This window comes from Homo sapiens, chromosome 18, assembly GCF_000001405.40.
Source record: "Homo sapiens chromosome 18, GRCh38.p14 Primary Assembly".
Classification (NCBI taxonomy): Eukaryota; Metazoa; Chordata; class Mammalia; order Primates; family Hominidae; genus Homo; species Homo sapiens.
The window spans coordinates 58,982,714-59,000,298 of record NC_000018.10 but is presented as its reverse complement, the minus strand read 5'-3'; the positions used below and the strand labels follow the sequence as shown (position 1 = coordinate 59,000,298).

Below are 17,585 nucleotides of genomic sequence, written 5' to 3'. Positions count from 1 at the left end.
ATCCAAGCTCCTGTATAGCCCATGCCTGCCACCATCTTTGTGTTTGGGGATTGGAGGTGGCATTTAAAAATGCCATCATGAAGCTGGGAGTGGTGTTTCACGCCTGTAATCCTAGCACTTCAGGAGGCCGAGGCGGGCAGATCTCTTGAGGTCAGGAGTTCGAGACCAGACTGGCCAACATGGCGAAACCCCGTCGCTACTAAAATTGCAAAAATTAGCCAGGTGTGGTGGCGCATGCCTGTAATCCCAGCTACTTGGGATGCTGAGACAGGAGAATTGCTTGAATCCCGGAGGCAGAGGCGCAGAGATCGCACCATTGCACTCCAGCCTGGGTGACGAGTGAAACTGTCTCAAAAAAAAAAAAAAAAAAAAAAAAAAAGCTATTGTGTGATATTTAATACATTAAAAAGGCATAAACAATAAAACAAATGCCTATGTTCCCACCACCCAGCTTAAAAAGTAAAACTTGACCAATCATTTGAAATGTGTGTTCCTAATTGCATCCCCACCAAGGCTAGCCCTGGACTGAATTTGGAGGTTATCATTCTCATGCATTTCTGAACATTTGACCTACGTATGTAGAACCACATAGAGCAAGATAGCATCTTAAATTGCATTTGTTTAAACTTATATATGTATATAACTTTCTACAGCTTGTTTTTTTCTTCTTGATGTTATTTCCATGCGATCCTTCCATATTGATATGTGTAGCTCTGCTTCACTCTTCTTGCTATTGGGTTTTATTCTGTTGTTCTTGTTTCTCTTGTTGTGGCTTATTTTATTTATTTATTTTTTGTGTTTTTTTTTTTTTGTGAGACAGAGTCTTGCTCTGTCACCCAGGCTGGAGTGCAGTGGAGCAATCTCGGGTCTCTGCAACCTCCGCCTCCCATGCTCAAGTGATCCTCCCACCTCAGCCTCCTGAGCAGCTGGGACTACAGGTATGTGCCACCACACCAGGCTAACTTTTCAATTTTTAGTAGAGACGGGGTTTCATCATGTTGGCCAGGCTGGTCTCAAACTCCTGAGCTCAAGCAATCCGCTTGCCTCAGCTTCCCAAAGTGCTGGGGTTACAGGCGTGAGCCACCGTACCCAGCCCTGTTGTTGCTTATTTTATTCAACAATTAAAAGTGCAGACTCAGGAATCGGACGATGTGAGCTCAAATCCTATTTCTACCACTGCAGGCAGGATACTTTGCATTTCTGTGGCTCCATTTCCTCTTTTATAAAAGAGATGATACTAACACTGTCCTCCCCCGCATAGTGGCTGCTAGAACTAAATGGCACCGCTCCCGTCCAAGCCTCGGAATGATGCCTGCCGTATAAAAGTACTCTCACCAGTGACTCTTATTCTTTTTCCATCTGCATGACTGCCAGGAAAACCAAGCTGAGAACTAAGGTCAGAACGACATGCTGTGCTCAAAAATCTCAGGCGAAATGTCAGAGCAACAACGCCAAGTATTTTCCGGTACATTAGAATGAAAATCAGTTTAAAAAACTACCGATTATTGTATTCATCTGTTAAAATAAATTAAGTCATCTATCCACTTAGATAAATCATTCAATTCTTTCCCAAACCATTTATCTTGGAGGTATCTTTTTAACTTACAAGATTTTCAATTTTCAGGCTCCTACAGATGGAACAAGGTTAGTGCATGACTAGAGCAACTTACAAGGCAAATATAGCATTAACATGGCTGTGACTAATGATGACAATATGTGCCACCACCTCATCACCAGGAATCTGAGCCAGCCATGGCACCTTCTGGATTTTCTTGGCCCGCTTATTTGGCCCCAGTTTGTCAGAATGTTCCCTGTCAACATCACCAAGTGTTGTAGCAAAACACAATCAATTTCAAAATGGGACTTGAAGAAGATGGCTAGTAAATCAATTGGATTTGTATTCTCTCGCTATTTCATTAAGTATCCAGACATCTAATCCCATGTAGAATGGCAACTGCTTCAAATTATGTGCTATTTTGAATTACAAAATATCAGATGAAAGCTTTTGATTACCTTTATGATGGATATTATGCTACTAAGCATTTTTCAATACAAAGTACATTAGTCATGCATTCAAAATGTGAATGGAAATTGCTATGTTCATTTGTCTGGCTTTGGAAAAAGCAAGTTTTTACATTTTTCCTTGTTAGTGGTTTCCATCAGCATCAACTATGAATCATTCTTCTGAAAAAGAGGTTACCCCAATGAAAACACATCTGATTTTTTTGTCCCTTTCCGGCAGGAAAGTATGTGTCTCTTTAGTTGTGGGAATGATTTTGGGAAATACTAATAATAAACTTCTGACCATCCGAAGTCCATCTATATCACATGCCAAGAGGCGTGGCTACAGTCTCACTCCTTCCAGCTTGAGCCCGTGCATTTACCAACACACTCCTTAGCATTTACTATCAAGCACAGAATGGGCAAGACTTTTTCCCCAAATAAGGAAGCAACTCATTACTAAAAGCAAACTAAATGTCTAGAAAAAGAAGCCAGCCGGGGGCAGTGGCTCACGCCTGTAATCCCAGCGCTTTGGGAGGTCAAGGTGGGCGGATCATGAGGTCAGGAGTTCGAGACCAGCCTGACCAACATGGTGAAAATAAAAATACAAAAATTAGCCAGGCATGGTGGCGGGCACCTATAATCCCAGCTACTCAGGAGGCTGAGGCAGGAAAATCATTTGAACCCAGAAGGTCGAAGTTACAGTGAGCCAAGATCGTACCATTGCACTCCAGCCTGGGTGACAGAGTGAGACTCCATCTCAAAAAAAAAAAAAAAAACCCAAGATATCTCATATAACAGTGAAATGTTATCCATATTGATGACATCAATGATGTTAATAATAATCAGCATCATACAGTATATAAACTATTCTCATCTTTTTCTTTTTTGAGAAGAAGTCACGCTCTGTTGCCCAGGCTGGCATGATCTCTGCTCACTGCAACCTCCGCCTCCCAGGTTCAAGTGATTCTCCTGCTTCAGCCTCCCAAGTAGCTGGGAGTAGAGGCGTGCACCACCGCACCTGGCTGATTTTTGTATTTGTAGTAGAGACGGGGTTTTACCATGTTCTCTAGGCAGGTCTCGAACTTCTGACCTCAAGTGATCCACCCACCTTGGCCTCCCAAAGTGCTGGGATTACAGATGTGAGCCCCCGTACCCGGCCTCTCATCTTAAGAGGTTGGTCTTCGTGAGATTCTTCTGGCTAGACTGACGGTAGAGCCTCCTACGCTAAAAATTCTCCTCCCTCTTTGATTCCTGGCAAAATGCAAATTAAGGCTCATCTTCTCTTTCCTTTCTGGTTCTGTGTCTTTAATTCTCAAGAGTTTGTCTAGAATGCTCCCAGCACAAACCTCCACTGCCCTGTGTTCACCTACACGTGTTCACCTACACAATGGGCCAGGGAAACCTACTTACTTCTTAGAGCGTATTCTTTGGGCTTCACTGAATTCAGATCGGAAAGGAATTCATCAGTATCTTGCACGCACTTCAGAGAGATGTTTCTTGCAGGAAAAACAAAAGGAAATTGAAAAGACAGCAGGCAAAATAGTAGAGTCAGGCTCATCATTGTCTCCTAACCTGTTAGGATAAGCCTCACGTCTTTGACAAACAGCCTGATATTTATGAAACACTGGTGTATAATATGTCGCGGGTAAATGGGACATGCTCGCTCCTTAACAGGCGGAGAGACAAGCTGCGTCTCCCAGCCACCTGCAAAGCGGCCGAGATGAACAAACCATGGAAACCAATTTATATACAACTTGTTATTGTTGAGTAACACAGCACTGTGGATGTGGGGGCTGCTGACCACCTGGCTTCCTTTAGTTATGCAGGTTAACATTTCCAGTTAACATGGATAATGCTGGATTTTCTCTAGCTAGATGGCCTGGAGTACGTCTCTGGGTTTCAAAAATATAGTGACTATGTTAAGTGGCAATATTTGGCTTTTGTCCAAGAAGGATGATGAGCTCGTAAAACATTTGGATGAATGATAAAGAAGGGCTTCTCCGTGATAGTCTGCATAGGGTATACATCTGCCAAAGCGTGTGCTGGACTTCCAGAGTGGTATCAGCGTGGGAATGTTGAACTGCCCCGTGGGAAGGAAGTTGTTGCAGTAGGACAAATATGCACACACATCCACATGTGGGAGTTTCGAAAACACATCCTGGGAAGTCAGACGCTGATGAAGGACCATGGGAATGGTACACAACTACTTTGAGAAAACATAAAATGTGTCGATCTGGATTTCTCACGGTGTAAATATTCTTTTTCCAGAAAGGCTTGCTTTAAATAGTAACTTCCATATCTCCATTTAAAATGGGAAGCAATTTCTGTAGATCTTGTTTACACTGCTGGAACACATCTGCACTTGTGGGTGGCCGTGACTCAGTTGTGCTTCCTGCTGCCAGTTGGCTTCAGAGCATCTTCTATTCTAGCATCCCAGACCACCCCTTTCTATGCACACACCCCGCCGACTCTGACTTCTGTTCCTTTGTTCGTGCCCTGCCCTCTGTCTGGAGCAACCTTCCCCCAGCTCCCCTTCTGCTGGGCATCCTCATCTATTCCTACTTATTCTTCTAAGTAGGTGTTGGCTCTTCCAGGAAGCCCTTCTGGGCTTCCTGAGAGTAGGCTATGAGAGTAGCCTGTTCCCTCTGCTGCCTAATTGCTTTGCACACTCCCTTTACCTCCTCACTTTGAAGGTATCTATTTCTGTCTCCTTTTCTCTTATAGACTGGAAGCTCCAGGAGGGCAGGCACTGTGCTCTTTTAATCATCCTGGAATATTCTCAGGCCTTCTGGGTAGTGATTAAGAGCCAAAGCTGTTCCTTACTGGCTGTGTGACCTAGAGCAATTGTGCAGTCTCATTTATCTTATCTTGAAAATGAAGATAATTATAGTCTCTACACCTTGGAATTATGAAATTTAATATGAAGTATTAAAAGAAGGCCAAGTGTGGTGGCTCATTCCTGCCATCCCAGCACTTTGGGAGGCCAAGGCAGGAGGATTGCGTGAGTCCTGGAGTTAGAGGTTACAGTGAGCTATGATTACACAACTGCACTCCAGCCTGCACATCAGAGCAAGATCCTATGTCTAAAAAAATAAAAATAAATTTTAAAAGTACTGAAAGAGGCTGGGTGTAGTGGCTCATGTCTATAATCCCAGCCCTTTGGGAGGCTGAGCAGGAGGATCACTTGAGCGCAGGAGGTCAACCAGCCTGGGCAACATGGTGAAACCCCTGTCTCTACCAAACATTTATAAAATTAGCCAAGCATAGGGGCACACACCTGTAGTCCCAGCTACTCGGGAGGCTGAGGTGGGATGATTGCCTGAGGCCAGGAGGTCGAGGGTGCAGTGAGCTGCATTTGTGCTATGGCACACCAGCCTGGACAACAGAGCAAGACCCTGCCTCAAAAAAAAAAAAGGTACTGAAAGAGTTCCTGGCCTATTATAAATACTCAAGAAATACTACGTATTGTCCTTATATTCTAAATGCCCACTTACATACCTGGCAGATAATGTATATACCAGATATCCTGATAATGTATCTACAAGGGGACATTACAGTATCTGACCTTTTGTAGACCCTTAATAAACAGTAGGTACTGTGGCAATTTAGGATTTTTTTGTTATTGGCTTAAAGAAAAAAACATTAAGGCACACAAGCTGAAATAGTTAACACACTCTCAGGTAAATAGTTCCCTGAAAAAAAATAAAACAGATAATTTTGATCCAAGTTACAAAGGGGCAGCTTTAAAACAAATAATTTTCTAGTAGTCAAAACTAACTCAAAGATGAACTGGGGCTCTTTCAAATGACATCACGGTCTCCAGCCTTGGAGGTGCTCAGCTGTTTGTTGACCACGCATGAAGGCATTAGAGAGATTCAAGCCTTGTACAAATTACCTCTCAGGTCTCTAACTTTGAAATCCTCTGCATCTACCTTCAAAAGTATTTTCAGCCGGGCACAGTGGCTCATGCCTCTAATCCCAGCACTCTGGGAGGCCGAAGCAAGCAGATTTCTTTGAGCTCAGGAGTTCAAGACCAGCCTGGGCAACATGGCGAAACCCCATCTCTACAAAAAACAAACAAAAATACAAAAAGGATTTTTTTTTTTTACCATTAATGTGTTGGTTATTATTAAACACCTCTGAAAGTGTTGTCTAATTGAAGTAGACAATGAAATTTCCATGTAAAAATGAAAGCATCCAACTTGGAATATGTAGATAAATCAACAACTTGTAGGAAGAAGGAAACCGAATTTGGTGCCAGAAACCAGGGTTTAAGTCCTGGCTCTTACAGAAGCAGGTTCAATTTCCCTATCTGTAAAATTATGAACTCAGCCTACTTCACACAGTTGCATTGTAGTATGAACTTAAAGCTCATGATACAGAAACATTTATAGAATCCCGAGTCCTAAATAAATGTTTGTTAGCATTAGAGCTCCCACTGCCAAGTTGCTTTTTGGGTTTTGTTTTGCTTAACCATCTTTCTACCTTAGAAAAGGGTGAGAGAGGGGATTGAAAAAACTAGAGGTTTAGATAATTTGAATGCAGTCTGCTGGTTTCAAATCCACAGTTTGAATCAATGGTGGAAAGAAGATTCAGAGGGGAAAAAAAAAAACAACTTTTAAAAATACAAATAAAACAATATAGTGTAACAAGTTCTTATATCGTATTAGGTGTTGTACGTACTGTAGAGATGATTTAAAGTATAGAGGGGAATGTAGATTATATGCAAATACTAGACCATTTTATATCCAGGAATATCAGTGGATTTTGGTATCCACAGGAAGTGGTTCTGGAACTTTTCCACTGCCAATACCAAGGGAAGTCTGTATGAATGATTAAACAGAAAAATCTCTGAAACTTGGATTTATTCCCGGGTTAGTTGCTGATGTCATGTAGTCACTGAAAGTAAGAATGACATTGCTTTTAGAATTCAGCATTAAATACTTCATCTTTTTTCAAGTGGAGAAAAAATATAATGAGCAGAACCCACCTCCACATTTTAATCATTAGGAATAAAAACCACTTACGATGGTTTAAAAATACTACCTAAATAAAAAAGAAAAAGAGGATCTTACTTCTGGGTAATTAATAGCTCAAGATCCTTCTGTTTGTCCCAACCCCTAAGAAAAAAAAAATTATGACTAATCAAGGCTCAAGGAAGCTCAGTCATTTTACAAAAATATTTTAGGTACCTGTTTTGTTTTTTGTTTTTTGTTTTTTGCAAGCAGTTTGCTGGGCATAAAAATAGGACATGAAAATAAATAATGCCTTCGTTTCCTGAAAGCAGGCCTCTAACGTTTCCGGAAGCAGCAGCAATCAACCGGCTGGTGCTATTATTTATGACACGGTCACTTTATTCAAGTAACTATTAAAAAGGAAAGGGCATTCGGGCTCCCATCACTTGGCAATGGGTTTGAGAAAACAAGGATCAGTTTTGACTGTCCAGAATAAGGATCAAAGGGGAAAATATAACTAATACCCACTGCTCTCAGGCCGCAAAAGGAAGAATGCCTCTTGCAATGAGAGGAAATGGCAGTTTCAGATTAGAAAGCAAGCAGAGAGTTCATGGAAAATCTTAGAACATTCTTCCAGGGGATGGCAGACACTTAGCACATAAGCATATCATGTCAGGCAGTGATAAGTGCCAGGGAGAAAAATAATGGGAAGCGGAGATGGAGAGTGGCAAAGCAGGTGTGTGCTCAGTGGGGTGGGCACATTTCAGTAAGGGAATTGGGGAAGGCTCTCCAGGCGGGGGACTTCTGCATGGACCGGATGTGAAACATGTGAAAAACCCTCATGAGAACTGGGGAAAGAGCATTCCACGAGAAGGAAGAGCATGTGCCAAGGTCCTGTAACAGGAATATGAATCGTGGATAGGAACGAAAAGGAGTGACATGGGAGTAGGGGGAAGTGATAGGAGGTGAGGTTAGATATGGTGACGGGAGCAGGGAGGTCTTCCGGGGCTGGTCTTATAGCAATTGAAAGGCACTCGCTTCCATTTATTTTGGTCTCTTCTGAAACAACAGAGACTGGCATGTTGTTTAGCTGGTGTCTTATTCAGAGGGAACCAAGAGTCTAAACTTTAGGTTCTCCCCATGATGTTGGCACTGCTTGTGTCCAAGACATTCAGTAGTTCCTTAAAGACAAACTGACTTCCCTCACCTTGACAAACAGTTCACAAGTCTACTCTCAATTCAGAGTCACCACGGCCATTGCCACTATGCTGCCATCACGCCACCAGACAAATGGTGTTGAACTGGCCCGCTCCTTTGTATCACCTACTGAAGAGTCGAGCAGGAGCATAGTTTTGGTCATCCCGTGCCTGAAGTTAGGCTGCTGGGAGTCAGGGTGAGTGACCTTCTGGATTCTGCAGTGGGAGGTAAGATCTATCTCTTGCCAAGATTCATACAATGGCAGGTACCCCCAACACTGGAAAGGGAAGTTCAGGTGCTGAACTGGCAAAGTAGAGACATTCATTACTCCTGCTTACAGATGCATCTGTTTCCACCTTGGAAAGGGTGGAAGATGTTGCTCTACTTCCCGTTAACTCTTGTCAACATCACACCATCCTCTCTGATCAGCGGACCTGTGCCTACCTTGTTCTTTTTTAAAAAACAAATAGCATTTGTTCTCCAAAAATAACCAATCCAATTAAGCATGACATGACCTGAAGGTCAGGAAATGACTCATGGACTCAGGGGCGAAACCCACACTTTCTGGAACTGAGTTGGACTTGGAGGTGTGCTATGGTGGACTCTAATTATAGAACTCCCCCGGGTGAAAACATGGTCTTGCCAAGGATTGTATTTGCAAATAGATCTGCCATGGTCATGTAATGTACAGTTCTAACTATAAGAAAAGCTCAAGGATAAAGCAGCTTGCAATAAAATAGCACAGCAAATTTAATAATCAGTTCCCTTAAATACTGGGAAACATTATAAATAGCGCTACGTGATGAGTCAGAACTAACCTCATAAATTGAATTTAGAAACTGGTAAGGAATATCTTCTGGGAAATGTGATTCTGTTTCCTTGCATAAAAATAACCACTAGGGAAAAGGTATAATTCCAGGAGAAACCTGGCAAGGTAATTAGAAAGGGTAAATGTAGAATCTGAAGTACCGTATTCCATTGGAGAGCCTGCCTGTAGGGGACAAAATGCATGTTGACAAAACAGGCATAGAACACGCACTCCTGAAAGTGCATGCCACGTGTCAGTGATCATTATAACCTCCCACTCGGAAACCCAGATCCTTCATCCACCCTTCTTTGTCCTGTTTTGTGCCCAACACACGGACATCTATAGACTATTACTGTGGCTGCCTTGTCATCTAGCTTGTATTTAGCTTTGGCAGGTGGGAGGTGCGGGCAGGAAATCTTTGAGTGTGATGAGAGGGCCTCCTGGTGATTCCGCTCCCCACACCTTCCTGGCTTCACTGTGGCTCTGGCAGTGGCTCTTCCTGAGTGCCCTTTTCCCACAGCTCCAGCTTCCACCCCTACTCAGGCTTCTCAGGCCTTGTTCCAGCACACAGCTCTGTGTATAGTCCCTTCCTTAATTTCTTGAAAGTTAAACCTTTTGCAGTGTGCTGCACTGCATTCTGCTGGGACCTTAATTGAAACAGGATCTAGGGTACCCCCAAATCTAGATTTCCAAAGAAGGCAGCAAATATAAATGAGCAAATGCCTAGAAAAATGTAGGCTAAGATCATTAAAGTTTTATCCAATGTATTGAATCGTTACTAAAACATTCAAAATCCATTGGGACTGTGAAGAAAAAATGGATGTGAAAAGAAAATACTCTGAAAAGACTGAGAGTAGCCTAGTCTCAAATTCAGCCTTATACTCAAACCATGTGAACTGAGGCTGGGCTGTTCAGAATGGGTTGATTGGGGGTAACAGTGACTATAGAATGACAACTGGCTACTCCAGAAACTTCTAGTAGCATGAAGAGAGACTTTTCACAGAAATATGGGCATTTCTTGCTATAAATTTCCCTCTTGGAATGGCTTCTGCTGCATCCCATAGGTGTTTGGTACATAGTTGCTATTTGTCTCAAGATTTTTTTGATTTTCTTTTTTATTTCTTCTTTGACCCATGTTGTTTAATTTCTACTTATTTGTGAATTTTCCAAGATTTCTCCTGTTACTGATTTCAAGTTTCACACCATTGTGGTCAGAAAAGATACTTAAGGTAATTTTGATCCCCTGAAATTTGTTTAGATTTGTATTGCAGCCAAACATATGATCCATCCTGGAGAAAGTTCTGTGTGTACTTGAGAAAAATGTGTATCCTGTTGCTGTTGGATGGGATGTTCTGTATATGTCTGTCAGGTCATAAAGTGTAGTTCAAGTCCAATGTTTCCTTATTAATTTTCTGTCTGGATGGTAATCCATTATTGAAAGTGGGGTATTGATGTCCCCTACTATTATTGTATTATAGTTTCTATCTCCCTTCAGATCTATTAATATTTGCTTTATATATTTAGGTGCTTCATTCAATGTTGGATACATTTATAATTATTGTATCCTCTTGATGAATTGACCCTTTCATTGTTATATAATGTCCTTTGTCTCTTTTATTGCTTCTGACTTAAAGTTGCTTTGTCTGATGTAGGTATAGCTACCCTCTGCTCTCTTCTGGTTCCATTTGCATACAGTATCTTCTCATTCCTTCATTTTCAGTCTATGTGCATCCTTAAGAGAGTTGAGTCTCTTGTAGGCAGCATACAGTCGGGTACTTAGGTCTTTTTTTTAATCCATTCAGCCACTCTGTCCTCATATTAGAAAATTTAACCCATTTACATTCAAAGTAACTACTGACAGGTGAGAACTTATTACTGCCATTTTGTAATTTGTTTTCTGGTTGTTGGGGATGTATTTTGTTTCTCCCTGTCTTGCTGGATGGTTTGTGGTTTGACTGCTGTAGTGGGATGTTATGAATAATCCTTTCTATTTATGTTCTGTGCATCTACTATAGATTGTTTTCTGGTTATCATGATCTTTATAAAGAAAGACATTCACATTGTCATATTCCAAAGGCTTACAGCTAACTCGGTAAGGGTGTGAGATTCATAACTGAGAAAAGAAAAACAAAAATTGTCAAAGAAAACAAGAAGTTTCAAGGATGCATTTAAGCAGAGTGAGTTACACCTCTTGAGTAGGAGCCAAGTTTTTAAGGTAATTAAGGGTAGGTTCTTTGTTTAGAAGATGTATGTTAAAATTAAGAGCTACAATCTGGAATCCTTACAGCATCTGATATTTGCAAAGCGTGTGTGTGTGCGTGTGTGTGCATGCGTGTGTGTGTAAATTGCACAAATAGCATCCTACATTTGGCACATTACTTTTTATTTTCAGACTATCCTTTGGGATAGATGAAGGGTTCCTCTGAGTCATATTTTATAAATTTCTTGGCTGCCCAAAAATTTCAAGAGGAAATTTCACTGTTGGTCAAAGATCCTAGGATGGAAACTCACTAGCCTGCTGACACTGGTGAGGCATGCCCACCAGAGCTTCAGGGTAGAACAGCTGTTCTTTGGACTACTTGCTGTGGTAGGAGTAAGGAATTTGCAGAAAACGTGCTTGGGAGGAAGGAAGTGGTCTTTGCCATGCAGTGTAAGCCTACATTTTCCTTTTTCTCATTTTGCAAGTAACGTTTTGCTGGCATTCTTTTGTATGCATTTGTTACTCAGCTATTGATATATCACCCAAACACATAAAAACAAAAGCATAATTTGTATGTATACCTGAAACTTAAGATCATCTTCCTGGTAATCAACTCTTAATTTTTACATATATATAAAGTATGTATTATATATGTATTATATATTTTATGTATGTATTATATATTTTATATATGTATTATATATTACATATGTATTATATATATATGTACTATATATTATATATATATAAAATTTTCTTTTTTGGAGATAGAGCCTTGCTCTGTCATCCAGGCTGAAGTGCAGTGGCACCATCTCAGCTCACTGCAACCTCTGCCTCCTGGGTTTAAGCCTCCTGAGTAGCTGGGACTAGAGGTGGGTGCCACCATGCCTGGCTCATTTGCATTTTCAGTAGAGACAGGATTTCACCATGTTGGGCAGGCTGGTCTCGAACTCCTGATCTCAGGTGATCCACCTGCCTTGGCCTCCCAAAGTGCTGGGATTATAGGTGTGAGCCACCATTCCCGGCCTACTTCCATATTTTTAAGTAACCTAAACCTTGAGAAAAAATGTAAGGAATCACATAAGCTTGAACTTTCAGATCAGACTTTCTCTGTATTCCACATTAAGAAACCCTCTGGAAACTGTTTCTGAAATGCTACTTACAACCGAAGCCTCTTTCCAAGCCTACTCCCACCACCCTAGGTCAAGTGTTCCTACTGTGTTGGCACCATAGCTATGCCAATTTAAACGTTATTCCTGTGATGTCCAAATATTTTCAGCCTCCTGGGCACGTGGGAGGATTGCACTTCCCAGCCTCCTTGTGACTAGGTGGCTCCGTATGACTGGTTTTGGCCAGTGACTTGTGAGAAGTGGCATCTGTCACTTCTGGGCCTCAGCATTTCATTGCATTTTCCCTCTGCCACAGCAACTGGCAACTTTTTGATAGTGGGGTAATGGGACAAGGAGATACGGAGCCATGCCTCCAGCCAACCCACAGTGGACACTGAATGTGAACAAGAAATGTCTTGTGATAAGCTATTTAGGCTTAAGGTCATAACCACAGCATAACCCGACCTATCCTGATTGATATACTCCATCCTAAACACTGCCACCAATTAATCTGGTCCTATCACTCCCCTGTCCAAATGACTATCTCTATCAATACAAACCCCTTCATTCTATCATTCAAGGTTTTTTTGTTGTTGTTGTTTTTGAGATGGAGTTTTGTTCTTGTTGCCCAGGCTGGAGTGCAGTGGCACCATCTCCCCTCACTGCAACCTCCGCCTCCCAGGTTCAAGTGATTCTCCTGCCTCAGTCTTGGAGTAGCTGGGATTACAGGCACCTGCCACTGCGCCCAGCTGATTTTTTATATTTTTAATAGAGATGAGGTTTCACTATGTTGGCCAGGCTGGTTGTGAACTCCTGGCCTCACGTGAACCACCCACCTCGGCCTCCCAAAATATGGGGATTACAGGCGTGAGCCACCGTACCCAGCCTCATTCAAGGGTTTTTACAACTTGGCCTAAGCCTTTGCTTCCAGGCTTAGCTCTCACTTCTGCACTCAAGAGTACATGGACTTCCTAAGAATTAAGCATACCTCATGTTATCCTCCTCCTCAAATGCCCACACCCAGCATCTACAACTAATGAAGAATGGGCAGAATTTATGTCCCAGCATGATTTTTGTTGAGCATTCACTGTTGATCCAAGTATTAATGTCTTTCATTAATGGCTAAGATTTTCTACACTGACCTTCCCAGTTCTCTCTAGTCCCCCTTTCTGGAACTTCCATTAAACTGAAGCTGGATCTTCTCATTTTGTCCTTGATTCCTAACCTCTCTTTCGTATTGGAAACATCACTTTATCTCTGTGCTGAGGCTAATTTTCTCAAGGGCTATCTTCCAGTTTACCAATTTCCTCTTCAGCTGAACAATCCAGGTTTTCCCCCAGGGTTACAGCACTGTGTAGTGTTTTTCTAGAATCTAGATTTTGGTTTCTTCATTTTGGACCTCTGGGCATTTTTTAAAATTTTCTTGTATTCTCACCTATGCATTTACCAGGTGTTAATTTTATATTAAGCATCTCTGGGTATTTAAGAGTAGAAAGACTTTCAGGTTATTTATAAAGCCATAGTGCCAAAAACAAAAATTCTGTATCATGTTTTGTACATACTTTTTATTTGTTGAATAAATGAATATTTGTCAATATGTACATAACCACATAGAGCGAGCATTAGATTTAGAGAGCAAAATATTTGGGTTCTAATATGCAAAGCCACTTACCAGCTATGAGGGCTTCGGCAAAGAACTGAATCTGAGCTCAGCTCCCTCAACTGTAAAACTAGGTTATTCGGACCTATGTGGCCTACCACACAGGCTTATTGCAAGGTTCAAATGCAGAAACATATGAAAGTGCTATTATGAATACAACTTAGAGCAATACAAACAAAACAAGGAACAGCAATGGAATTTCAAGCTGAAATTCACACCCTCGGATTGTACCCATGTACTGATGGAGTCAACAAGAAAGTGACAAAATAGCTGATTACTAATGAGAACGAATATGCCATTCTTCTGAGTGGGAAGAATTCTGCAACACCCTGTAGCTTGTCGCTGCAATTAATTACTTCCCAAACTTCACAAAGATGTCAGAGACCCACCATCAATAATTCTCTCACAGAAGCACAAGGGCCAAATGTCCCACGTTTATTTACATATGAAATGTGTTTCATACAGTTATGATGGATGGAGTGCATAACACCTGACAGCAGCAAGACCTTTTGAGGAACCGAACATTGACTACAGTATATCATGCAAGTATCTATATATACACAAAAGAATTCCTTTTCTTAAAAAAAAAAAAAAAAAAGGTACAAAACATGTTCAGGGATAAATACAAGATACAAAATGCAAAAGAAAACACAAAACAAAACCAAAAAATAGAACTCTCTCAGAGAACTATAAACGGAAGGGACAGAAGAGTACCTCTGCTGCATTTTAATAAAGCAGAACTACCGACGTTAAATATACTTCTTGAAATGGCTGAACTAAACCCGGGTGGCTCAGTGCTTAAGGTAACGGCCAATTGCAATACACAGGCGGCTGCATTGATAAGTCGGTGGTTGAAGTTGTGCATCCCGACTCTAAGTACCATAACGTTTGGCAGTAGCACCCAGAACAGGAAACGCCAACTCTTTTGACAGCAAAGGGTTAAGTCAACTGATTTTTTTCTGTCAAGAGCCAGAGAAATACTTGATATTCTTAGCTGTGTTTCTGTAATAGTTAGTTAATAAATTACATGACAAAAACCTGACTATATAAATCTATTGGTCTAACTACGTATTTGTAACTTTTATAGTAGTCCAGCCCTTTCGTTACTTTCCCTCCTTGTGCTCTTAAAGCCAGCCTTGCAGATCTGCCGAGAAAACAAATCCCATTTTTTTCTTTAGAATAGCCTTCCCCATTCCTCAAAATGGAACTGAGGAAATCAGCATTCCTTATTAGATTCCTAGCTTCAGTTTTTATCCACGGCTGGGAAAGGAGCGACCTGCAAGACTGCTTTAAACACCCTTCGGCATGGCCTGAAGACAAAGGCACGTCCACACTGGAGTGCAGTTGTCTCAAATGTGAACTCACTCCCTCAGGGCAGGCACATCGAGGAAGTGCTAAGACACTTAAAAGTTCCTAGTGTTTTTGAGACCCACAATTACTTACAATTTATGTAGTGAATTCTAAAAATTAAAAACACTAAAAAAGGCATTATTTTAGCCTGTAATTAGTTAACCCATTCAAAATCCAAACATACAAAATGGTTTATTTGAATTCAGGAACTGCCCCTGTTACTAAGAACTCTGTTTTAAAGAAACAGTACAAAAAGAAAAATTCTAACCCAAAACAACTCAAATGGTTTTCCACTAAATACTGATACAAACATGTAACAAAGAGTATAAAAAGTTATTCATTTAAATATATACAAACTCTTTTAAACTCAAATACTGTTTTAATACTTATCGAGGATATATACGACGAGGTGAAGGAAGGTACATTGAAAGAGAATATATTGCAACAGCCTAGACAGTACTGTTAACTCTATTATACTGCAAACTTTGTAACAAAAATGTCTTTTTTATTCCAATGTGGACAGGGATTTTCCTCATGGAGCATCTGTGGCTATTTCTCGGCTGAGCTCATCCTTTTGGATTTGATGAAGGCCATGCCGTGTGTCCGCATGTGAGTATTTAAGGCAGCTTCAGTTTCAAAAGTTTTTGCGCACACTTTGCACTTTCTGTCTGACACGGCGCCATCAGGGGATTCATCCTCGTGGCTGGGTTTGTTCTCCTGTTGGTTATCTTCCCCAGCCCCATTTTGCTTGGACACTGGCTGAGGTTCCTTTAACTTGTGTACGATGAAGAGGTGCCTGGACAGAGAGACGTGAGACGTGTAGCAGAGGCCACACTCCCGGCACTGGTAGGAAGAACCATCCGATTTGTGCTGAGGGATGTGTTCGTGGAATTGCAGCAGGTTTTCGGTGGTGAAGCCACACACGGCACACTTGTGAACCTTAAAAACATTGATTTTCAGCTTTTTCAGTGGTTGAGTGATTGCTCCTCGGGGAGGCCTGAACTCCAGAACTGGTTCTTCCAACTTCCGCTTGGGACTGGGGACCTTTCAGGGAAAGAAAGCAAATGACACGACTGAAAACCATCCTTCACGGTGGTTGATAAATGATCGGTTCTCTTACTTTAGAGCTGCCAGGAAAACTTGTGCTGAACGCTTTGGGATTTAGGGGCTTTAAAGCTGTGTCTGCCACCCCACCCGGAGGCCCATGCCTTTCTTCCACTCCACAGAGAAACCTAGTAGCTGTTAGCAGGCATTGCTCTGCCAGTGGGGCACAACAGTGGACAAATGAGCTCCTAGCTTCCTGAAATTTGTGGCAGCGGAGTTAGATGAACAGAAACAAATGAGAAAATATGCAGTATGTCAGACCCAGGACAGCCAAGCAGGGTGGGATGAGGGCCATGGGAAGCAAGGGGGGGGTATATGTGTGGCTGCTAGGTGATGTGGTACGGTCAGGGACAGCCTGGTGACAGGTGACATTTGAAAAGAGACCTGACGCAGTGTCGGGAAAGCAGTCCAGGCATAGGAAGCTGTGAGTGCCAAGGCCCAAGGTGGGAACAGGCCTGTGAGTGGGCAACAGAAGAGGGGCTAGAGCCAGTAGGAAGGAGTGCTCAGGGAGACTGCAGGAGGTGAACTGTAACGCCCCTTGTGGGAGAGAGTGTCAGGATTTTGCTTTTAGACTGAGAGCCTCTGGAAGCTTTCCCCACCCTTTCCTGCCTCCTCACCTTCACACCATTTCCCCTACTGCGTCTGCTTCCAGGGCTCTAAATCCCACTCTGAATCCCCTCCCCAAGCCAACGTGCCCCTCCTCTCCGCACTCTGTGCCCCAGCTTTTCTGCTCTGTTCATGTGCACCTTCACACGTGGCCATGACCTGAAGCTACCTTTGCACACACTTTCTTTTTTTTTAAGACGGAGTCTCGCGCTATTGCCCAGGCTGGAGTGCAATGGCATGATCTCGGCTCACTACAGCCTCGGCCTCCCGGGTTCAAGCGATTCTCCTGTCTCAGCCTCCCAAGTAGCTGGGACTATACGTGTGCACCACGATGTCCAGCTAATTTTTGTATTTTTAGTAGAGACAGGGTTTCACCATATTGGCCAGGCTGGTCTCGAACTCCTGACCTCGTGACTGCCTGCCTTGGCCTCCCAAAGTGCTGGGATTACAGGTGTGAGCCACCACGCCTTGGCTTCACACATATTCTTTAACTCACCACCAGGAGCACTTGAAGTATTGCATTTTAATGCCACATCAGTCTGACTTATATTCTGAGGAGGTTTTACTCGATGATTAACTCCTTGAAAGCACA

The 17,585-nt window shown here is 42.1% G+C and overlaps 1 protein-coding gene and 1 pseudogene across 57 annotated transcripts in view, besides 1 other annotated feature; both read right to left on the bottom strand.

The window, feature by feature from the left end:
- The window catches only part of OACYLP (O-acyltransferase like, pseudogene), a 72,699-nt pseudogene extending 69,011 nt beyond the window's left edge, over nucleotides 1-3,688 (bottom strand). The window contains exon 1 of the transcript NR_024021.3: nucleotides 3,415-3,688. The product of NR_024021.3 is annotated as an O-acyltransferase like, pseudogene (transcript). The remainder of the gene's footprint in view (nucleotides 1-3,414) is intronic.
- Nucleotides 3,689-13,818: 10,130 nt separating this feature from the next.
- Nucleotides 13,819-17,585, bottom strand: part of ZNF532 (zinc finger protein 532) — a 123,557-nt gene continuing 119,790 nt past the window's right edge. For all 56 annotated transcript variants that reach the window (NR_148459.2, NR_148460.2, XM_047437584.1 and 53 more), the window contains one exon: nucleotides 13,819-16,327. Coding sequence is in view for 54 of the 56 variants with exons in the window: in XM_047437584.1 (XP_047293540.1) it covers nucleotides 15,833-16,327 (495 nt within the window). In the remaining 2 variants the exon portion in view is untranslated. The remainder of the gene's footprint in view (nucleotides 16,328-17,585) is intronic.
- Nucleotides 15,490-16,689: an enhancer, noted in NCBI's record as "BRD4-independent group 4 enhancer chr18:56650842-56652041 (GRCh37/hg19 assembly coordinates)". NCBI's record gives its function as "activates an origin of replication core promoter dependent on BRD2, P300/CBP, MED14 and CDK7 cofactors, and independent of BRD4, by STARR-seq in HCT116 cells {active_cell/tissue: HCT116}" and the evidence as "EXISTENCE:reporter gene assay evidence [ECO:0000049][PMID:35650434]".